At 38.7% G+C, this 25,534-nt stretch overlaps 1 protein-coding gene across 3 annotated transcripts in view, besides 2 other annotated features; it reads right to left on the bottom strand.

The window, feature by feature from the left end:
* IGSF11 (immunoglobulin superfamily member 11) overlaps positions 1-25,534 on the bottom strand; it is a 245,464-nt gene that overhangs the window by 142,327 nt on the left and 77,603 nt on the right. The window lies entirely within an intron of this gene.
* Positions 1,989-2,569: an enhancer, noted in NCBI's record as "H3K27ac-H3K4me1 hESC enhancer chr3:118763719-118764299 (GRCh37/hg19 assembly coordinates)". NCBI's record gives its function as "activates a minimal SCP1, AML or CMV promoter by ChIP-STARR-seq in naive H9 embryonic stem cells {active_cell/tissue: H9 hESC(naive)}" and the evidence as "EXISTENCE:reporter gene assay evidence [ECO:0000049][PMID:30033119]".
* Positions 2,570-3,149: an enhancer, noted in NCBI's record as "H3K27ac-H3K4me1 hESC enhancer chr3:118764300-118764879 (GRCh37/hg19 assembly coordinates)". NCBI's record gives its function as "activates a minimal SCP1, AML or CMV promoter by ChIP-STARR-seq in naive H9 embryonic stem cells {active_cell/tissue: H9 hESC(naive)}" and the evidence as "EXISTENCE:reporter gene assay evidence [ECO:0000049][PMID:30033119]".

Consider the following 25,534-nt stretch of genomic DNA (forward strand, 5'->3'; position numbering starts at 1 on the left):
AGAACAACTGTTACCAGGGGGTCCTTGTTCTTAGAGCTCCCAAGATGGTGGCGGGCAGCTTCCAAGATGGCAGCAAGCCTCTTGTTCTCTGACCTGGGGTTCTTGGCCTAACGGATTCCAGGGAATGGAATCTTGGCTCATGTGGTGAGTGTTATAGCTCTATTAGAAGCTGTGGGTCACAGAAGAGAACCGTGGAACCCAGCGACTAGCGTTCAGCTTGATTTGGATGAACCCGGGCACTTAGCTATGCAGGAACAATGGCAAGCCTTTAGCCTGATTGTGCAGTTGCAAGATTTAATAGAGTGAAAACAGAGCTCCCATAAATGGGAGGGGACTCAAAGGGGGTTGCTGTTGCCAGCTCGAATGCCTGGGTTTATATGCCAATCATTTTCCCTCCCCCTGTGCTCTCAGGCGATAGATGACTGGCTGTCTTGTTTTTGCCTAATTGGCATTTTAGTGAGCTCTCTTTACTACCTGATTAGTCGGGTGTGAGCTAAGTTGCAAGCCCCATGTTTAAAGGTGGATGTGGTCACCTTCCCAGCTATGCTTAGGGATTCTTAGTTGGCCTAGGAAATCCAGCTAGTCATGTCTCTCACAACCATGCTCCAAAGAAGGAGGAAATAACAACTGATTCCATTGCCGGCAACACCCTAGCTAACCAGAGGTCCTGAGTCCATCCACATGACAATTTTACTGCTAGCATGCTAGCATAACAACCATTCAAAAACTTGGTTGCAAAAAACTGCAACCAAGGACTCCCACAGAGTTCACAACACACCTCTGCCACCTCCACCAGAGCAGGTTCTGGTATCCATGGCTGGGAGACCTAAAGATGGATCACAACATAGGACTTTTTGCAGGCATTCCCCAATACCAGACGGGAGCCCAGTTAGCCCCACTGGGTGGCTAGATGCAGAAGGGCAATAACAATCACTGCAGTCCAGCTTTCAAGAAGCCCCATCCCTAGGGGAAGCAGGAGAGTACCACATCCAAAGGATCACCTCATGGGACAAAACAATCTGAACAGCAGCCCTTGAGTTCCAGATCTTTCCACTGAAACAGTCTACCCAAAAAAGAAGGAACCAGAAAAGCAGTTCTGATAATATGACAAAACAAGGTTCTATTAACACCCCCAAAAGATCACATTAGCACTGCAGCAATCCAAACCAAGAAAAAATCTCTGAATTGCCAAATAAAGAATTCAGAAGGTCGATTATTAAGCTACTCAAGGAGGCACAAGAGAAAGGTGAAAAACAACTTAAAGAAACCTAAAAAACAACACAGGATATGGATGAAAAAGTCTCCAGAGAAATAGACATCATAAAGAAAAGACAATCACAACTTCTGAAAATGAAAGACATACTTAGAGAAATGCAAAATACACTGGGAAGTTTCAGCAATCAAATCGAACAAGTAGAAGAAAGAACTTCAGAGCTTGAAGATAAGACTTTCTAGTTAACCCAATCAGACAAGGGTAAAGAAAAAAAGAATTTTTAAAAAATAAACAAAGCCTCCAAGAAATTTGGGATTATGTTAAATGACCAAACATAAGAATAATTAGTATTCCTGAGGAAGAGAAATCTAAAAGTTTGGAAAAAGTATTTGAGGAAATAATTGAGGAAAACTTCCCTGGTCTTGCTAGAGATCCAGATATTCAAATATAAGATGCTCAAGGAACACCTGGTAAGTTCATCACAAAAAGATCATCACCTAGGCACAGAGTCAACAGGTTATCTAATATTAAGATGAAGAAAAGAATCTTAAGAGTTGTGAGGTAAAACCATCTGGTAACCTGTCATACAAAGGAAAAGCTATCAGACTAACACCAGATTTCTCAGCAGAAATCCTGCAAGCCAAAAGGATCTGTAGCCTTCTTAAACAAAATAATTATCAGCCTAGAATTTTGTATCCAGCAAAACTAAGCTTCATAAACGAAGGAGAGATAAAGTCTTTTTCAGACAAACAAATGCTGACAGAATTCACCACTAACAAGCTTGCACTACAAAAAATGCTAAAAGGAGTTCTAAATCTTGGAACAAAACCTGAAATACACCAAAATAGAACCGCCTTAAAGCACAAATCTCACAGGACCTATAAAACAATAACACAGTTAAAAAAAGGAATTCAAGCAACAATCAGCATGATGAATAGAACAGTACCTCACATCTCAATACTAACACTGAATGTAAATGGCCTAAATGCTCCACTTAAAAAATAGAGAATGGCAGAACGGATAAAATCCCACAAAAGGGAGGAGCCCAGATGGCCAAATAGGAACAGCTCCGGTCTACAGCTCCCAGCGTGAGCGACACAGAATATGGGTGATTTCTGCATTTCCATCTGAGGTACCGGGTTCACTTCACTAGGGAGCGCCAGACAGTGGGCGCAGGTCAGTGGGTGCGTGCACCGTGCACGAGCCGAAGCAGGGCGAGGCATTGCCTCACTTGGGAAGCGCAAGGGGTCAGGGAGTTCCCTTTCCGAGTCAAAGAAAGGGGTGACGAACGGCACCTGGAAAATCGGGTCACTCCCACCCGAATACTGCGCTTTTGCGACGGGCTTAAAAAACGGCGCACCATGAGATTATATCCCGCACATGGCTCGGAGGGTCCTACTCCACGGAGTCTCGCTGATTGCTAGCACAGCAGTCTGAGATCAAACTGCAAGGCGGCAGTGAGGCTGGGGGAGGGGCGCCCACCATTGCCCAGGCTTGCTTAGGTAAACAAAGCAGCCAAGAAGCTCCAACTGGGTGGAGCCCACCACAGCTCAAGGAGGCCTGCCTGCCTCTGTAGGCTCCACCTCTGGGGGCAGGGCACAGACAAACAAAAAGACAGCAGTAACCTCTGCACACTTAAATGTCCCTGTCTGACAGCTTTGAAGAGAGCAGTGGTTCTCCCAGCACGCAGCTGGAGATCTGAGAACGGGCAGACTGCCTCCTCAAGTGGGTCCCTGACCCCTGACCCCCGAGCAGCCTAACTGGGAGGCACCCCCCAGCAGGGGCACAGTGACACCTCACACTCCAGGGTACTCCAACAGACCTGCAGCTGAGGGTCCTGTCTGTTAGAAGGAAAACTAACAAACAGAAAAGACATCCACACCAAAAACCCATCTGTACATCACCATCATCAAAGACCAAAAGTAGATAAAACCACAAAGATGGGGAAAAAACAGAACAGAAAAACTGGAAACTCTAAAAATCAGAGCGCCTCTCCACCTCCAAAGGAACGCAGCTCCTCACCAGCAACGGAACAAAGCTGGATGGAGAATGACTTTGACGAGCTGAGAGAAGAAGGCTTCAGACGATCAAATTACTCTGAGCTACGGGAGGACATTCAAACCAAAGGCAAAGAAGTTGAAAACTTTGAAAAAAATTTAGAAGAATGTATAACTAGGATAACCAATACAGAGAAGTGCTTAAAGGAGCTGATGGAGCTGAAAACCAAGGCTCGAGAACTACGTGAAGAATGCAGAAGCCTCAGGAGCTGATGCAATCAACTGGAAGAAAGGGTATCAGCAATGGAAGATGAAATGAATGAAATGAACCAAGAAGGAAAGTTTAGAGAAAAAAGAATAAAAAGAAATGAGCAAAGCCTCCAAGAAATATGGGACTATGTGAAAAGACCAAATCTATGTCTGATTGGTGTACCTGAAAGTGATGGGGAGAATGGAACCAAGTTGGAAAACACTCTGCAGGATATTATCCAGGAGAATTTCCCCAATCTAGCAAGGCAGGCCAACATTCAGATTCAGGAAATACAGAGAACACCACAAAGATACTCCTCGAGAAGAGCAACTCCAAGACACATAATTGTCAGATTCACCAAAGTTGAAATGAAGGAAAAAATGTTAAGGGCAGCCAGAGAGAGAAAGGTCTGGTTACCCTCAAAGGGAAGCCCATCAGACTAACAGCGGATCTCTCGGCAGAAACCCTACAAGCCAGAAGAGAGTGGGGGCCAATATTCAACATTCTTAAAGAAAAGAATTTTCAACCCAGAATTTCATATCCAGCCAAACTAAGCTTCATAAGTGAAGGAGAAATAAAATACTTTACAGACAAGCAAATGCTGAGAGATTTTGTCAACACCAGGCCTGCCCTAAAAGAGCTCCCGAAGGAAGCGCTAAACATGGAAAGGAACAACCGGTACCAGCCGCTGCAAAATCATGCCAAAATGTAAAGACCATCGAGACTAGGAAGAAACTGCATCAACTAACGAGCAAAATCACCAGCTAACATCATAATGACAGGATCAAATTCACACATAACACTATTAACTTCAAATGTAAATGGACTAAATGCTCCAATTAAAAGACACACACTGGCAAATTGGATAAAGAGTCAAGACCCATCAGTGTGCTGTATTCAGGAAACCCATCTCATGTGCAGAGACACACATTGGCTCAAAATAAAAGGATGGAGGAAGATCTACCAAGCAAATGGAAAACTAAAAAAGGCAGGAGTTGCAATCCTACTCTCTGATAAAACAGACTTTAAACCAACAAAGATCAAAAGGGACAAAGAAGGCCATTACATAATGGTAAAGGGATCAATTCAAAAAGAAGAGCTAACTATCCTAAATATATATGCACCCAATACAGGAGCACCCTGATTCATAAAGCAAGTCCTGAGTGACCTACAAAGAGACTTAGACTCCCACACATTAATAATGGGAGAATTTAACATCACACTGTCAACATTAGACAGACCAATGAGACAGAAAGTCAACAAGGATACCCAGGAATTGAACTCAGCTCTGCACCAAGAGGACGTAATAGACATCTACAGAACTCTCCACCCCAAATCAACAGAATATACATTTTTTTCAGCACCACACCACACCTATTCCAAAATTGACCACACACTTGGAAGTAAAGCTCTCCTCAGCAAATGTAAAAGAACAGAAATTATAACAAACTATCTCTCAGACCACAGTGCAATCAAACTAGAACTCAGGATTAAGAATCTCACTCAAAACTGCTCAACTACATGGAAACTGAACAACCTGCTCCTGAATGACTACTGCGTACATAACGAAATGAAGGCAGAAATAAAGATGTTCTTTGAAACCAACGAGAACAAAGACATGACATACCAGAATCTCTGGGATACATTCAAAGCAGTGTGTAGAGGGAAATTTATAGCACTAAATGCCCACAAGAGAAAGCAGGAAAGATCCAAAATTGACACCCTAACATCACAATTAAAAGAACTAGAAAAGCAAGAGCAAACACATTCAAAAGCTAGCAGAAGGCAAGAAATAACTAAAATCAGAGCAGAACTGAAGGAAATAGTGACACACAAAACGCTTCAAAAAATTAATGAATCCAGGAGCTGGTTTTTTGAAAGGATCAACAAAATTGATAGACCGCTAGCAAGACAAATAAAGAAAAAAAGAGAGAAGAATCAAATAGACGCAATAAAAAATGATAAAGGGGATATCACCACCGATCCCACAGAAATACAAACTACCATCAGAGAATACTACAAACACCTCTACGCAAATAAACTAGAAAATCTAGAAGAAATGGATAAATTCTTGACACATACACTCTCCCAAGACTAAACCAGGAAGAAGGTGAATCTCTGAATAAACCAATAACAGGATCTGAAAGTGTGGCAATAATGAATAGCTTACCAACCAAAAAGAGTCCAAGACCAGATGGATTCACAGCCTAATTCTACCAGAGGTACAAGGAGGAACTGGTACCATTCCTTCTGAAACTATTCCAATCAATAGAAAAAGAAGGAATACTCCCTAACTCATTTTATGAGGCCAGCATCATTCTGATACCAAAGCCAGGCAGAGACACAACAAAAAAAGACAATTTTAGACCAATATCCTTGATAAACATTGATGCAAAAATCCTCAATAAAATACTGGCAAACCGAATCCAGCAGCACATCAAAAAGCTTATCCACCATGATCAAGTGGGCTTCATCCCTGGGATGCAAGGCTGGTTCAATATATGCAAATCAGTAAATGTAATCCAGCATATAAACAGAACCAAAGACAAAAACCACATGATTATCTCAACAGATGCAGAAAAGGCCTTTGACAAAATTCAACAGCCCTTCATGGTAAAAACTCTCAATAAATTAGGTATTGATGGGACGTATTTCAAAATAATAAGAGCTATCTATGACAAACCCACAGCCAATATCATACTGAATGGGCAAAAACTGGAAGCATTCCCTTTGAAAACTGGCACAAGACAGGGATGCCCTCTCTCACCACTCCTGTTCAACATAGTGTTGGAAGTTCTGGCCAGGGCAATTAGGCAGGAGAAGGAAATAAAGGGTATTCAATTAGGAAAAGAGGAAGTCAAATTGTCCCTGTTTGCAGATGACATGATTGTATATCTAGAAAACCCCATTGTCTCAGCCCAAAATCTCCTTAAGCTCATAAGCAACTTCAGCAAAGTCTCAGGATACAAAATCAATGTGCAAAAATCACAAGCATTCCTATACACCAATAACAGACAAACAGAGAGCCAAATCATGAGTGAACTCCCATTCACAATTGCTTCAAAGAGAATAAAATACTTAGGAATCCAACTTACAAGGGATGTGAAGGACCTCTTCAAGGAGAACTACAAACCGCTGTTCAAGGAAATAAAAGAGGATACAAACAAATGGAAGAACATTCCATGCTCATGGGTAGGAAGAATCAATATCGTGAAAATGGCCATACTGCCCAAGGTAATTTATAGATTCAATGCCATCCCCATCAAGCTACCAATGACTTTCTTCACAGAATTGGAAAAAACTACTTTAAAGTTCATATGGAACCTAAAAAGAGCCCTCATTGACAAGTCAATCCTAAGCCAAAAGAACAAAGCTGGAGGCATCACACTACCTGAATTCAAACTATACTACAAGGCTACAGTAACCAAAACAGCATGTTACTGGTACCAAAACAGAGATGTAGATCAATGGAACAGAACAGAGCCCTCAGAAATAACGCCGCATATCTACAACTATCTGATCTTTGACAAACCTGACAAAAACAAGCAATGGGGAAAGGATTCCCTATTTAATAAATGGTGCTGGGAAAACTGGCTAGCCATATGTAGAAAGCTGAAACTGGATCCCTTCCTTACACCTTATACAAAAATCAATTCAAGATGGATTAAAGACTTAAACGTTAGACCTAAAACCATAAAAACCCTAGAAGAAAACCTAGGCATTACCATTCAGGACATAGGCATGGGCAAGGACTTCATGTCTAAAACACCAAAAGCAATGGCAACAAAAGCCAAAATTGACAAATGGGACCTAATTAAACTAAAGAGCTTCTGCACAGCAAAAGAAGCTACCATCAGAGTGAACAGGCAACCTACAAAATGGGAGAAAATTTTCGCAACCTACTCATCTGACAAAGGGCTAATATCCAGAACCTACAATGAACTCAAATTTACAAGAAAAAAACAAACAACCCCATCAAAAAGTGGGCAAAGGACGTGAACAGACACTTCTCAAAAGAAGACATTTATGCAGCCAAAAAACACATGAAAAAATGCTGACCATCACTAGCCATCAGAGAAATGCAAATCAAAACCACAATGAGATACCATCTCACACCAGTTAGAATGGCGATCATTAAAAAGTCAGGAAACAACAGGTGCTGGAGAGGATGTGGAGAAATAGGAACACTTTTACACTGTTAGTGGGACTGTAAAGTAGTTCAACCATTGTGGAAGTCAGTGTGGCGATTCCTCAGGGATCTAGAACTAGAAATACCATTTGACCCAGCCATCCCATTACTGGGTATATACCCAAAGGGTTATAAATCATGCTGCTATAAAGACACATGCACACGTATGTTTATTGCAGCATTATTCACAATAGCAAAGACTTGGAACCAACCCAAATGTCCAACAATGATAGACTGGATTAAGAAAATGTGGCACATATACACCATGGAATACTATGCAGCCATAAAAAATGATGACTTCATGTCCTTTGTAGGGACATGGATGAAATTGGAAATCATCATTCTCAGTAAACTATCGCAAGGACAAAAAACCAAACACCGCATATTCTCACTCATAGGTGGGAATTGAACAATGATATCACATGGACACAGGAAGGGGAACATCACACTCTGGGGAGTGTTGTGGGTTGGGGGGAGGGGGGAGGGATGGCATTGGGAGATATACCTAATGCTAGATGACGAGTTAGTGGGTGCAGCACACCAGCATGGCACCTGTATACATATGTAACTAACGTGCACAATGTGCACATGTACCCTAAAACTTAAAGTATAATAATAATTAATAAATAAATAAATAAATAAATAAATTTCAAAAAAAAAATCCCACAAACAAGTATCTGCTGTCTTCAAGAGATTCAGCTCACACATATGGGCTCACATAAACTTAAGGTAAAGTGGTAGAAAAAGATATTCCATGCAAATGGAAACCAAAAGTAAGCAGGAGTAGCTGTTCTTATTTATATCAGACAAAACAGACTTTAAAGCAACAACAGTTAAAAAAAATAAAGAGGGGCATTATATAATAATAAAAAGATTAGTCCAACAGGAAAATATCACAATTCTAAATATACATGCACCTAACACTGGATCTCCCAAATTTATAAAACAATTACTACAAGACCTAAGAAATGAGACAGATGGCAATACAGTAAGAGTGGGGGACTTCAATACTCGACTAACAGCACTAAACAAGTTATCAAGACAGAAAGTCAACAAAGAAACAATGGAATTAAACTATACACTAGAACAAATGGACTTAACAGATATTTACAGAACATTCTACCCAACAACTGCACAATATACATTCTATTTATCAGCACATGGAACATTCTCCAAGATAGACCATATGATAGGTCACAAAACAAGTCTCAATAAATTTAAGAAAATTGAAATTATATCAAGTATTCTCTCAGACCACAGTGGAATAAGATTGAAAATTAACTCCAAAAGGAACCCTGAAAACTATACAGATACATGGAAATTAAATAACTTGGTTCCAAATGATCTTTGGATCAACAATGAAATCAATATGAAAATTTAAAAATTCTTTGAACTGAACAATAATAGTGACACAACCTGTCAACACCTCTGGGATACAGTAAAAGCAGTGATAAGAGGAAAGTTCATAGCATTAAATGCCTACATCAAAAACTCTGAAAGAGCACAAATAGACAATCTAAGCTCACACCTCAAGGAACTAGAAAAAAAGAACAAACCAAACCCAAACCCAGAAGAAGAAAAGAAATAACAAATATCAGAGCAGAACTAAATGAAATTGAAACAAAAAAATGTACAAAAGATAAATGAAACAAAAAGATGGTTCTTGGCTGGGTGCGGTGGCTCATGCCTATAATCTCACCACTTCGGGAAGCCAAGGTGGGTGGATCACTTGAGGCCAGGAGTTCGAGACAAGTCTGGCCAACATGGTGAAACTCTGTCTCTACTAAGACTACAAAAATTATCCAGGTGTGGTGGTGTGCGCCTATAATCCCAGCTACTCAGGAGGCTGAGACAGGAGAATCACATCTGTCACAAAAGATAGAAAGGAAGCAAGCAAACAGGAAGGGAGGGAGGGAGGAAGAGAGGGAGGGAGGGAGGGAAGGAGGAAGAGAGGGAGGGAGGGAGGGATTTAAAAATTGCCAACAAAAAAAGTCCAGGACCAGATGGATTCACAGCTGAATTCTGTCAGACATTCAGAGAATTGGTACCAATACTAATGAAACTATTCCAAAAGACAGAGAAAGAGGGAATCCTCCCTAAATCATTCTATGAATCCAGTATTACCCTAATACCAAAACCAGGAAAGGACACAGAAAAAAAAAAAGAAACCTACAGACCAATATCCCTAATGAACATAGATGCAAAAATCCTCGACAAAATACTAACTAATCGAATCCAACAGCTTATCAAAAAGATAATCCACCATTATCAAGTGGGTTTCATGCCAGGGATGCAGGGTTGGTTTAACATACTCAAGTCAATAAATATGATACACCACAAAAACAGAATTTAAAACAAAGGTCATATGATCATCTCAACAGACTCTGAAAAAGCGTTTCACAAAATCCAGCATCCCTTTGTGATTAAAACCCTCTGCAAAATCAGCATACAAGGGACATACCTAACTGTAATAAAAGCCATCTGTGACAAACCCACAGCCAACATTATACTGAATGGGGAAAAGTTGAAAGCTTTCCCCCTGAGAACTGGAACAAGACAAGGATGCCCACTTTCACCACTTCTATTCAACGTAGTACTGGAAGTCCTAGCCAGAGCAATCAAACAAGAGAAAGAAGTAAAGGGCATCCAAATCAGTAAAGAGGATTCAAACTGCTACTGTTTGCTGATTTGCTGCTGTTTTCTAGGTATAGATCATATACTTAGAAAACCCTAAAGACTCTTCCAAAAAGCTCCTAGATAGGATAAATGAATTCAGTAAAGTTGCAGAATATAAAATCAATGTACACAAATCAGTAGCACTGCTACACACCAACAGCGACCAAGCTGAGAATCAAATCAAGAACTCAACCCCTTTTACAACAGCTGCAAAAAAATAAAATAAAATACTCAGAAATGTACCTAACCAAGGAAATGAAAGATCTCTACAAGGTAAACTACAAAACACTGCTGAAAGAAATTATAGGTGACACAAACAAATGGAAACATATCCCATGCTCATGGATGGGTAGAATCAATATTGTGAAAATGACCATACTGCCAAAAGCAATCTATAAAGTCAATGCAATGCCCATCAAAATACCAACATCATTCTTCACAGAGCTAGAAAAAATAATCCTAAAATTTGTATGGAACCAAAAAAGGCCCTGCATAGCCAAAGCAAGACTAAGCAAAAAGAACAAATCTGGAGGCATCACATTATCCAAGTTCAAACTATACTACAAGGCTATCGTTACCAAAACAGCATGGTACTGTTATAAGTACAAGCATATAGACCAATGGAACAGAAAAGAGAACCCAGAAATAAAGCCAAATACTTACAGCCTACTGATCTTCATCAAAGCCAACAAAAAGATAAAGTGGGGAAAGGACCCCCTATTCAACAAATGGTGCTGGGATAAATGGCAAGCCACATGTAGAAGAATGAAACTGGATCCTCATCTCTCACTTTATACAAAAATCAACTCAAGATGGATCAAAGACTTGAATCCAAGACCTGAAATCATAAAAATTCTAAAATATAACATCATAAATACCTTCTAAACATTGGTTTAGGCATAGAGTTCATGACCAAGAACCCAAAAGCAAATGCAAAAAGTCAAAGATAAATAGATGGAACTTAATTAAACTAAAAAGCTTCTGCACAGCAAAAGAAATAATCAGCAGAGTAAACAGGCAACCCACAGAGGGGGAGAAAAATCTTCACAAACTATGCATCTTCACAAACTATGTATCCAACAAAGAACTAATATCTAGAATCTACAAGGAATTCAAACAAATCAGCAAGAAAAAGACAATAATCCCATCAAAAAGTGCACTAAGGACATGAATAGGCAATTATCAAAAGAAGATAAACAAATGGTCACCAAACATGTGAAAAATGCTCAACATCACTAATTATTAAGAAATGCAAGTCAAAACCACAATGTGATACCACCTTACTCCTGCAAGAACGGCCATAATTGAAAACTAAAAAATAATAAATGTTGGCATGGATCTGGTGAAAAGGGAACACATTTATACCGCTGGTGGGAATGTAAACTAGTACAACCACTATGGAAAACAGTGTAGAGGCTCCTTAAAGAACTAAAAGTAGAATTACCATTTGATGCAGCAATCCTACTACTGGTTATCTGCACAGAGGAAAAGAAGTAATTATATGAAAAAGACACTTGCACACACATGTTTATAGCAGCACAATTTGCAATTACAAAATTATGGAACCAGCCTAAATGCCCATCAACCAATGAGTGGATAAAGAAAATGTGGTGTGAGAGTAGTGGTTCTCCCAGCACACAGCTTGAGATCTGAGAACGGGCAGACTGCCTCCTCAAGTGGGTCCCTGACACCTGAGTAGCCTAACTGGGAGGCACCCCCAAGTACGGGCGGACTGACACCTCACACGGCCAGGTACTCCTCTGAGACAAAACTTTCAGAGGAACAATCAGGCAGCAGCATTGGCGGTTCACCAATATCCGTTGTTCTGCAGCCACTGCTGCTGATACCCAGGCAAACAGGGTCTGGAGTGGACCTCCAGCAAAATCCAACAGACCTGCAGCTGAGGGTCGTGACTGTTAGAAGGAAAACTAACAAACAGAAAGGACATCCACACCAAACACCCATCTGTACATCACCATCATCAAAGACCAAAGGTAGATAAACCACAAAGATGGGGAAAAAACAGAACAGAAAAACCAGAAACTCTAAAAATCAGAGCACCTCTCCTCCTCCAAAGGAATGCAGCTTCTCACCAGCAATGGAACAAAGCTGGATGGAGAATGACTTTGACAAGTTGAGAGAAGAAGGCTAAAAGAGACAAAGAAGGCCATTACATAACGCTAAAGGGATCAATTCAACAAGAAGAGCTAACTATCCTAAATACATATGCACCCAATACAGGAGGACCCAGATTCATAAAGCAAGTCCTTAGTGACCTACAAAGAGACTTAGAATCCTACACAGTAATAATGGGAGACTTTTAACAACCCACTGTCAACATTAGACAGAACAACGAGACAGAAAGTTAACAAGGATACCCAGGAATTGAACTCAGCTCTGCACCAAGCAGACCTAAGAGACATCTACAGAACTCTCCACCCTAAATCAACAGAATATACAATCTTTTCAGCACCACACCACACTTATTTGAAAATTGGCCACATAGTTGGAAGTAAAGCACTCCTCAGCAAATGTAAAAGAACAGAAATTAGAACAAACTGTCTCTCAGACCACAGTGCAATCAAACTAGAACTCAGGATTAAGAAACTCACTCAAAACAGCTCAACTACATGGAAACTGAACAACCTGCTCCTGAATGACTACTGGGTACATAACGAAATGAAGTCAGAAATAAAGATGGTCTTTGAAACCAATAAGAAAAAAGACTCAACATACCAGAATCTCTGGGACACGTTCAAAGCAGTGTGTAGAGGGAAATTTATAGCAGTAAATGCCCACAAGAGAAAGCAGGAAAGATCTAAAATTGACACCCTAATATCACAATTAAAAGAACTAGAGAAGCAAGAGCAAATACATTCAAAAGCTAGCAGAAGGCAAGAAATAACTAAGATGAGAGCAGAACTGAAGGAAATAGAGACAAAAAAAACCCTTCAAAAAATTAATGAATCCAGGAGCTGGTTTTTTGAAAAGATCAACAAAATTGATAGACTGCTAGCAAGACTAATACAGAAGAAAGAGAGAAGAATCAAATAGACGCAATAAAAAAATGATAAAGGGGATATCACCATCGATTACACAGAAATATAAACTACCATCAGAGAATACTATAAACACCTCTATGCAAATAAACTAGAAAATCTAGAAGAAATGGATAAATTCCTCGACACATACACCCTCCCAAGACTAAACCAGGAAGAAGTTGAATCTCTGAATAGACCAATAACAGGATGTGAAATTGAGGCAATAATTAATAGCTTACCAACCAAAAAAAGTCCAGGACCAGATGGATTCACAGCCGAATTCTACCAGAGGTACAAGGAGGGGCTGTTACCATTCCTTCTGAAACTATTCCAATTAACAGAAAAAGAGGGAATCCTCCCTAACTCATTTTATGAGGCCAGCACCATCCTGATACCAAAGCCTGGCAGAGACACAATAAAAACAGAGAATTTTAGACCAATGTCCTTGATGAACATTCATGCAAAAAGTCTCAATAAAATACTGGCAAACCGAATCCAGCAGCACATCAAAAAGCTTATCCACCATGATCAAGTGGGCTTCATCCCTGGGATGCAAGGCTGGTTCAACATATGCAAATCAATCAACTTAATCCAGCATATAAACAGAACCAAAGACAAAAAACACATGATTATCTCAATAGATGCAGAAAAGGCCTTTGACAAAATTCAACAGCCCTTCATGCTAAATATTCTCAATAAATTAGGTATTGATGGGATATATCTCAAAATAATAAGAGCTATCTATGACAAACCCACAGCCAATATCATACTGAATGGACAAAAACTGGAAGCATTCCCTTTGAAAACTGGCACAAGACAGGGAGGCCCTCTCTCACCACTCCTATTCAACATAGTGTTGGAAGTTCTGGCCAGGGCAATTAGGCAGGAGAAGGAAATAAAGGGTATTCAATTAGGAAAAGAGGAAGTCAAATTGTCCCTGTTTGCAGACGACATGACTGTATATCTAGAAAACCCCATCGTCTCAGCCCAAAATCTCCTTAAGCTCATAAGCAACTTCAGCAAAGTCTCAGATACAAAATCAATGTACAAAAATCACAAGCATTCTTATACACCAATAACAGACAAACAGAGAGCCAAATCATGAGTGAACTCCCATTCACAATTGCTTCAAAGAGAATAAAATACCTAGGAATCCAACTTACAAGGGATGTGAAGGACCTCTTTGAGGAGAACTACAAACCACTGCTCAATGAAATAAAAGAGGATACAAACAAATGGAAGAACATTCCATGCTCATGGGTAGGAAGAATTGATATCATGAAAATGGCCATACTGCCCAAGGTAATTTATAGATTCAATGCCATCCCCATCAAGCTACCAATGACTTTCTTCACAGAATTGGAAAAAACTACTTTAAAGTTCATGTGGAACCAAAAAAGAACCCGCATTGACAAGTCAATCCTAAGCCAAAAGAACAAAGCTGCAGGCATCACGCTACCTGACTTCAAACTATACTACAAGGCTACAGTAACCAAAACAGCATGGTACTGGTACCAAAACAGAGATACAGACCAATGGAACAGAACAGAGCCCTCAGAAATAACGCTGCATATCTACAACTATCTGATCTTTGACAAACCTGACAAAAACAAGCAATGGGGAAAGGATTCCCTATTTAATAAATGGTGCTGGGAAAACTGGCTAGCCATATGTAGAAAGCTGAAACTGGATCCCTTCCTTACACCTTATACAAACATTAATTCAAGGTGGATTAAAGACTTACATGTTAGACCTAAAACCATAAAAACCCTAGAAGAAAACCTAGGCAATACCTTTCAGGACATATGCTTGGGCAAGGACTTCATGTCTAAAACACCAAAAGCAATGGCAACAAAAACCAAAATTGACAAATGGGATCTAATTAAACTCAAGAGCTTCTGCACAGCAAAAGAAACTACCATCAGAGTGAACAGGCAACCTACAAAATGGGAGAAAATTTTTGCAACCTACTCATCTGACAAAGGGCTAATATCCAGAATCTACAAAGAACTCAAACAAATTTACAAGAAAAAAACAAACAACCCCATCAAAAAGTGGGCAAAGGATATGAACAGACACTTCCCAAAAGAAGACATTTATGCAGCCAAAAGACACATGAAAAAATGCTCATCATCACTGGCCATCAGAGAAATGTAAATCAAAACCACAATGAGATACCATCTCACACCAGTTAGAATGGCAATCATTAAAAAGTCAGGAAACAACAGGTGCTGGAGAGGATGTGGAGAAATAAGAACACTTTTACACTGTTGGTGGGACTGTAAACTAGTTCAACCATTGTGGAAGTCAGTGTGGCGATTCCTCAGGGATCTACAACTGGAAATACCATTTGACCCAGCCATCCCATTGCTGGGTATGTACCCAAAGGATTATAAATCATGCTGCTATAAAGACATATGCACATGTATGTTTATTGCGGCACTATTCACAATAGCAAAGACTTGGAACCAACCCAAATGTCCAACAATGATAGACTGGATTAAGAAAATGTGGCACATATACACCATGGAATACTATGCAGCCATAAAAAATGATGAGTTCATGTCCTTTGTAGGGACATGGATGAAGCTGGAAACCATCATTCTCAGCAAACTACCACAAGGACAAAAAACCAAACACCACATGTTCTCACTCATAGGTGGGAATTGAACAATGAGAACACATGGACACAGGAAGGGGAACATCACACATCGGGGACTGTTGTGGGGTGGGGGGAGAGGGGAGGGATAGCATTAGGAGATATACCTAATGCTAGATGACGAGTTAGTGGGTGCAGCGCACCAACATGGCACATGTATACATATGTAACAAACCTGCACGTTGTGCACATGTACCCTAAAACTTAAAGTATAATAATAATAAAATTTAAAAAAAGAAAGAAAATGTAGTGTGTGTGTATATACACAGATCACACACACACACACACACACACACACACCACACCATGGAAACTACTCAGTCATAAAAAGGAATGAAATAATGGCATTCACAGTAACCTGGATGGAGTTGGAGACCATTATTCTATGTGAAGTAACTGAGGAATGTAAAACCAAACATTGTATGTTCTCATTTATATGTGGGAGCTAAGACATGAGGACACAAAGGCGTAAGAATGATAAATGGACTCTGGGGACTCAGGGGAAGGGTGGAGGGTGGTGATTACAAAAAAGTACACATTGGGTTCAGTGTACACTGCTCGGATGATGGATGCACCAAAATGTCAGAATTCACCAATAATGAACTTATCCATATAACAAAATACCACGTGTTCCCCAAAAACTACTGAAATAATTTTTGAAAAGGATACATTTATTATTTTTCAGTACAACTAGAAGGGAAAGGGTATTGGTGGATGTGAGGCATCCAAAACTGCAGACACTGGTGATTTTTTTTTTTAACTGCCAAGCTTTTTTTTCCTGCTAAGCATCAAGACCTTCTTCGAATGTTCAGACAATTTTCCAGAGTTTGATTTTCAGTGGAAAGTAGAGTCCACCTTCCCCTGCAGAGGCCAGAAATACCCTCTAGCAACCAGGAAGCAATTACATAACATAAGTTTCAGCCAACTGGAGAGCCTCATATTTGGAATTGTAAGTCTTGAGCAAGTGTAACAAAAATTTAGGGATAAGGAAAGAAGAAGGAAAAGGAAATGATAAGACATAAAAGAAGGAAGAGATGAAAAAGAGTTCATTCCACTGTCCACTAACCAGAGACAGTTGTAGCTGTGGTGCCAGCAGTGGTGGTGGTGCCAGGAGCTGTCCAGTGAGTCCCCACCAGAGTGTTCCTTTGGTGTCATTTGGCTATTCAGCCTCCTTTGGTTGCTGCTTATTTTCTAATCCTTTAGACTTCCCGTCTTTTCTATGAGCTACCTAACAGCCTGGACCTTTTCTCCTTTAATGAACCATCATCAGTTTCTGTTGCTTGCAACCAAGAACATTGTCTTTAGGATTAAAGTGTTGTGAAATTCTTGTCTTTCCAGAAAGTTAGAGATATTGATTAACTTATACTTCAAAAGAGGTGAGGAGGGTCCTACCTAATGAGAGCCATCAGAGATCTTTTTAAACCAGCAACATCCAAGAAAAGAGTCAAAACATAAGAAAAAACAACCCTGAGAAGAACCATAAGATTTTGAAAAAATTGCCTCCAATCTGATAGCACATATGATCAGTGTGTAGATCAGAACCAGTGATGGGTGTACATTTCACACTTAAATTTAATCCATATTTATGGCATACTTATATGGACCAGGCACTGTAACTATACTATACACTTTAACACAATCATCTTATTTAAATCCTCACAACAATGCTGTGATACAAGTAATTTTACTTCATTTTTCCAGATAAAGAAAACTGAGATTCAAAGAAGCTTTAAACTGCATAGTCAAGATGATACAGCTCATCAATAGTAAAGCTTAGAAAGTAAAACTCAAGTTTTCTGTCTCTATGGCCAGTGTTCTTTCCACTATATGCAGATACCTCCATTTGAATTAGCACCCTGATCAACAATTGGAAACTGATAACCTTTCTGCTACTTTTTAATACTAAAATATCTTTTGTTCAGATTTTAGCCTGTCTTTTGTATCTGTTAATGAACACTCTTCCTTAAGAGATACAGACATATAAAATTAAATAGATAACCCACTCTTTAAAAATTAATCAGAAGTTTTATATTTTGTAAACATGAAAGACTAAGTAAATAATGCCTGGATTTGAAATGTTTTTAATAATAAAATCAGGAATAACCCATAAAAATTGGAACTCAAAAACAGTGAGCTATGCTGTTTCTATGGTAACACAATAAGGAAAAAATTAGATGGCCTAAAAGATACTTTTAATTCAAATAAATTGGTTCACAGTTTTAATATCATTTTTAGAAAAATCAATATATATCTAATCATTATTATTACCAAAATCCACATATTAATACCATGTATTCTTAAAGAAAGAGTGCCGCAGTATTAGAATCTTCTTATGCGCCATTTCATATCTTCTCAGTTCTATCTCTTATTCTAGTTTCTGCTGCAGCTTAGATCAGCTTCTCACAGGTATAACTTAACAGTGTCTTGCTTTGCCTTGGACTATATCAAGTACCTCTCTCTTTCTGCTCCAGAGATTCTCTGACACCAGCAGGAATCCGGTGCCATAGACATGTGCAACCTGGAAGCATAGGGGCCACTCTTGACCAATGTAGGATGGGACTCAATGGATAACCTTTCACCCTTGCATCCTCCAAGTGGCAGTTTGTAGCCACATTTCATCAGGCTCCCCAGAAGTTCCTGGCATGATCAATGACAACCAACCAACAACAAATGCATCTTTGGCTTTTCTTGTTGCCTTTTTCACTTCCCCATCAATTACTCTTTCTCCCTGAAATTACTTCTTAAATAAACTAACTATATATCAGCCTTTCACTCAGGATATACTTTCACGGGAACCCAAACTAAGACAACTAACTTCAAATAGATTTTATGTATCTATATACGTGGTTCCTACTAAGATTTAACTATAGTTTTTTTTTTTCAGTAGCCAGCTCTTTTTAAATATACATCAAAATTATGATAATAGTATACTTCTTGTCCTAGAGATTTGGGCATGTCTATAGTGTATATTTCTTGATGTCTAGAACCAAATAAGGTAAATGCGAAATAGAGCTTTTGCATTTGACCTTCTAAATGATAAAAGGTTTGCTTAATTTCAACTGTGCTATATTATTAATAACATTGGGAAAGTCACTTAACCTCTGTATATCTCAACTACCACCTTATAAAAATGGAATATAATTCCTACTTCACAGGTTATTAGAATTGAATCAGGTAATATGTATGAAAATGCCCATTACAGTGCCTACCTGATAATCAGCCTGGCAAGTCTGATTAGCTGCTGTTATTATTACCATTATTAGTAGAATTGGTTTTATTTGAAAGTTTGCCATCATGGGGAGGAAAGATCCATTGACTTGGTATTTCCACCCAAATATTTCACTGCATTGTATTTTGCAGCCATAAGAAAATATTTGAATTTAATTTAATGTGGACAATCAAGATATCTCCCCAGAATAAACTGGAAATACCTCTGTATAGATCTTTGAAATGAGAGACTGCAAAACATTAACACTTCCACAAATGCCTTTGCCTCACAACCAACCCCACTCTGTCCTTCCATTGAATTTGCACCGCTCTTGTGCAGTCTTTCATCAATTCAACAACTATGTAAAAATCCTGCTATGATGTGTTGAGTGAAAACTAAACAATCAGATCATGCAAAATACATAGTCATATTATTGCGAGGTTCTAAAATGATTGGGGTAATAAATTGCCTAGCAAGATTGCCAAGAATTCCAGAAGTCCTGTTGCTGAATCTGCATCTATTTATGTCCTAACTATGGTTTAGCAAGGTGGCACTTCAAACTAAAGCTTAGCTATTGATGGAAATGTTTCTGGGTCCTATATTGATTGATACTTCCAGGGTTCCATCAGTGATACCAGGAACAGTGAACTGGCACTTGTTTCATCAGCTTGATGCAAGAATGATATACAGGAACATATGCAGGCCATGATATACAGGAACCCACCCTCTGCTTCTCAAGGCAGGATTAGGAAGGATTTAACCCTCTAACTTCATTCACCCCACCACATCCTCCACTTTAGCCTCCACTCCCTTTAACTCCCCTCCCCTCACTATGAGAAAAGGACTAAACATAGGACAGGAATTGTCAACGGAATTATATATTCATTCTCATTATTAATGGGATACATTGTAATAGGGTTTTACAGTGTTTTTTGAGAATATACAATCTCCCAGGCTCTGTCCAGGGTACTGGTGATAATACATTAAGTAGCAAAAATCAATAGGTCTTTGCTCTTATGAAACCTTCAGTCTAGTGGAAAAGGCAGAAATTTACCACCACATAATTCTACTAACAAATGTGAAAAGTGGTATGAAGGAGAGGGTCTGAGTTCTGAATGGGCCTGTAACAGAACAATTTGACACAATCAAAGAAAGCTGGAAAGAATTCCCCGAAGACATAATTCCTCTACAAAGACTGAGGGTTGGCTAGGCAAAGGGAAAGTGGATAATTTTTGGAACAGGTGAAAAAATTGAGATATTTTGAAGCAAAACTGTGCATTTTAATTCCCCTTTGTAAATCATGTTTTCTTGTAAATTTTCCCTTTTGAGGACAAGCCATGAGGGGTTTTTTTGTTATGTTTTGTTTTGTTTTTGTGCACAGACATGAACAGTGCAGGTACCTAGAAAAAAAAATGTCATTCTTCTGCTTTGAGTACAATGGTTACATTTTTTAGTCCCATGCAAAAATACTTTCTCTTAGCCAGGCTTCAAGATAGGGGACGTCTTACTTTTGTTGTGTTCTTGTTATTATAGTGTATAGTTTTGTTTTTAATTTCAGTAGTTCCTTTTTAAATATCTAGAGACAAGTCAGATGTATTCACACAAAGGTGTTATATTGTAAGTCTTCCTGAATACAAATCAGAGGATACTACATAGATGATGTTCCAACCCTAGCAAGAAGGAAAGGAAAACTTTTCAAAGAGGAACCAAGAGAGAGAAGGAAAGAGGCCAGGAAGTCAAATGTGAGTGTCTTCACTTGCTCTGTAATATGTAGTAGTGCAAGGAGGCACTGCTGCATTTTAGCAAATGAGCTGTGGAAGAGTGATGATTGGGAAAATGTCTTGATGAGTAGGCCAAAAGATGGTCTCATGGAGTTGCACATGTTCCATTATAGTGGTCCAGAAAGTGCAGAGTAGCGTTAGGTCCTTGGTTGAAAGGAGGAAGGGGACTCTGAGATGCCAAGAAAACTGGTGTGCAAGAGGAACCCTGAGTTGGAATAAAATGACCACAGATCAGAGACTACAACAAAGTCAGAAAGAAGTTCTCCTACATTTTACTCTAAAAGCTTTTTTGTTTTACTTTTTCACATTTATATCTGCAGTCCATATGGATTTAATTTTTATAAATGGTATGAGGTAGGAATAGCCAAAATATTGACTGTAACTAAGCATCATTTGTTTAAAAAGGCTTTTTAAAACAACTGCAGCATAGCCTTTGTCATAAATTAGATGGCTGAGTATGTGTAGGGGGTTTTCCCTCTATTCTGTTCTCACTGGTCAATTACTCCATCCTAATCCCAAAACCACGCTGTCCTACACACTGTAGGTTTTTAAGTCTTGATGTCTGGTAGTGTAAGTCCTCCAGCTTTGTTCTTCTGAGATTGCCTTGGCTGCTCTTTTTTTTTTTTTTTTTTTTTTCCATGTGAACTTAGGAATCATCACCTCAATTTACACAATAAAATCTCTGGGATTTTGACTGGGGTTGTACTGAAACTATAGATTAATTTGGGAAAAAATATCTTTATAATATTAGGGCTCCCAATCCAAGAACATGGCATATCAATCAGTGCATTTAGGATTCTTTCATTTCTCGCAATAATATTCTGTAGTTTCTTGTTCCTTTTTAATTAAATTTATTGCTCGTATGTGACATTCTTTGATGTAATTATAAATAGTATTGTTTTTCAAATTTAATTTTCTATTTGATTATTGCTGGCATACAAAAAAGTTAACTCTTATACATCTAACTTATTTCCAAAAATCTTACTACATTCACTTATTGATTCTAATAGTTTGACTATAGATTCTTTTGAATGGTCTACATGTACAATCATGTCATGTAAAAATAGGTTTATTTCTTCCCTTTCAATCTTTATTCACTTATTTTTCTTGCCTTATTGTACTTCCTGAGACCTCCAGAATATATTTAATGTAAGTGTTGGTAGCTGGCCTCTTTGACTCATACCCAATTTCAGAGAGAAAGTTTTGAATATTTTATCTTTTCAAGTGATGTATCACATAGGATTTTAATAGATATATTTATCAAATTAAAAGCATTCCATTTTATTGTTAAGTTTGCCAAGATTTTAAAAAATCATTAATGTGCACTAAATTTTCTCAAATACCTTCTCTGTATCTGCTGCAATGATAATGTCACCTCTCACTTTTTCTTGATGATATATAGATTGTCTTCACTGATTTTTTTGAATGCCAAATCATCAGTGTATCTGTGAAATCTCCTGGTCATCATCATGGGATATGTTTTTTACATATAATTGGATTTTTTTAATGTATCTACTTTCATGACACAGTGGTCTGTAATTTTTTTTCCTTGTAATTTCCTTGTCAGTTTTTAGAATCAAAATTACGCTGGCCTCACAAAAAGCAAGGAAGCAGGCGGGGGGCAGTGGCACACGCCTGTAATCCCAGCACTTTGGGAAGTCAAGGCAAGTGGATTACCTGAGGTCAGGAGGTTGAGACCAGCCTGAGCAATATGGTGAAACCCCGCCTGTACTAAAAATACAAAAATTAGATGGGCATGGTGGTGTGCAACTGTAATCCCAGCTACTCGGGAGGCTGAAACAGGAGAATTGCTTGAATCCGGGAGGTGGATGTTGCAGTGAGCCAACATCGCACCACTGCACTCCAGCCTGGGTGACACAGTGAGACTCTGTCTCAAAAAAAAAAAAAAAAAAAAAAGCAAGAAAGCATTCCTTGTAGTATTCTGTTTTATAAAAGAATTGTGAAATATTTGTTTCACAAGAATTTCACAAATTCTTAGAAGAATTTACCTGTGTATTCATTGAATGTGTAATTTTCATCAGGGGAGGGCTGTTTTTTAATGGACAACCTTTTAAATAAACATAAAACTTCAGGTATTTTATTTCTTCTTTCAGCTTTGGTTAGTAGTATTTTTTTAAAATGCATCCATTTCATCATAATTTTCAAAACTTTGATGTCTATAAAATCCATAGTAATGTCCCCCTTTTCATAACTAATGCAAGTAACTGTATTTCTTTTTTTATCATGGTGAAACAGGCAGACAACAGTTAGGGCCCACCTGGATTAACTGATCCAGGATGATCTTATCTCAAAATTCTTAATTAAATCTGTAAAGATCCTTTTTCCAAACAAGGTAACATTTGTTAGGACATGGACATATCTTTTTGGGTGTCACCATCCAGCCCATTATACCTTGGTTTGCAACAGTTTCATGATAATATGCCTACGTATAGTCTTTTTTGGATTTACCATATTTATAGTTTGCTGTGATTTATTTTCAAAGTTTTGGGATATTCTCAGCTGTAATCTCTTCAAATATTCCTTCTTTCCCAACTCTATCTTCTCTCTGGATCTCTAATTAAACATATTTTAGATTCTAAGTATGATTCATATAAAGTAGTGTGCTGGAGCAGCTCATACCAGCTTGTCAGAGCCAATTGTTAAATATTCAGGAATTCTGTGAGATTGTTGTTAAATCATTGGTAGCTTGAAATCATCCATGGTTGACAGTATTTACACCATGACAGTCAGCAAACACTGCAAATTGATACTTTATTTTTCCCAGAGAACTGGATTGTCATCGTACCACTATACCTGTTTGCTATACTCCAGTTTGTTCTTTCGATCCTTTTGTCTTGCCATGCTTCAACTTGGGTATTTTCTCTTGAATTGTCTTCCAGTTCACTTAATCTGTGTTCTGCTGTATCCATAAAACCTATCTATTGAGTTCTTGATTTCAGATATTATACTTTTTAGTTTTATACATCTATTTCATTTCTTAGAGATTCCAATTCTCTGGCAACATTTTCCACCATTTTATCTATGAGTCCACATTTTCCATTATTTTCCAAATATATTAATCACAGTTATTTAAATTTATTGTCTGCAAATTCCAATATCTGGACCACATGTGGCCCGAGCATAACTGTCTGCTTTTTTCTTCATTATACATCCTATTTGTCTTGCCTCAATGTAAATCTAGTAGCTTTTTATTGTATGCTAAGCTCCATGTATTTAAAAAATGATACAAAGCTCCAAGTAATGTTATCTTTCACCAAAGAGTTTCTTCTGTCCTGTACTAGCGTATAGGATGAGTGGTTGGCTGATTACCTCAATCCAATTACGGAGCTGGGTTGGAGCTGAGTTTCAGTGTTAATAAAAGTCAAGTCTACCTCTGGCTCACCTCTTTTCCTCAGGCTCTCATGAGCTTTCTTCTGGAGATCCTGGTGAGCTTCCCATTCTTCAGTTCTAGCAAACTGTAGATCCAGCTCTGCCCTTCCAAGGTCCTCAGCCCACCTTCAGCCTCTTGCCTCCTACATTTTAAAATCTAGCAAATATTTTCAGGAGGAAATCAACTGTATCTTTAAGGAAGGTCCCCTCCCTTGGTGGGTCTTTGTTTCCTAAGTTATCATGAGACTGCAGGGAATTTCACTCTGCCTTTTAGAAGCTTTCAGCTTAGCTCTTCAGCTCCCTCGTAATACCAAAACTTGACTAACGTACTGTGGGGAAAAAACTTTAGATTTTTTTTTAGACATGCATCTAAAGTGCTTCAAGTTTCCTCTTTTCCATTCTAACCCTGAATGACTACTAAAAACTTTATTTCATGTATTTTGGTCTCCGTGAAGTCCCTCTACTTAGATCAAGCAGGATCCTCAATCCATGCCTAGAACAGGCAAAAGCCCCAGAGGGAGGCATTTGTTCATTCACCTACCCTCTCTAGATTCTTCCCCCTCTAGGATTTTAGTATTATAAACTTGCTCTTACAGGTATCTGATACCTTTAAAAACGTATTTGTAATTTATCTGGCCATTGCAATGGAAACATTGGCCTGCTGCAATCTACATACATCTTACCTGTTAGTAGATGTCAATATCCCTAGTAGATTCTAATGAGTAGCCAATCTTAAGCAATACTGACTGCATCTAAGAAACTATTACAAGGTTGAGGTCTAAGTTGAAGTACTTAGGTTCTCTCAGCTTTCCCTCACTGCTACAAGATAAATGGGTCTTCACCTATCATGCCTATCATGTTCCATGCTGGAGAAAGGAGACCGTCCATAGAGCAGAAAAGGCATACCAGCAGTGGATCACTAACTTTTGAAGTATTTGCAGATGTCCTAACCACAAACTTCCATTTGTTTACATCATTGACCCAAACCATATTATTTGTCCACTTCTACCTATAAGGGAGGCTTGGAAATGTAATATTTTAAGCTTGAGTACATTATTGCCCCCATGAAAACTTCATAGCAAAGAAAAAGAGAAAATGGATATTAGGTGGGCAGCTAGCAATCTCTGCCA

Source organism: Homo sapiens, chromosome 3 (assembly GCF_000001405.40).
Source record: "Homo sapiens chromosome 3, GRCh38.p14 Primary Assembly".
Classification (NCBI taxonomy): domain Eukaryota; kingdom Metazoa; phylum Chordata; class Mammalia; order Primates; family Hominidae; genus Homo; species Homo sapiens.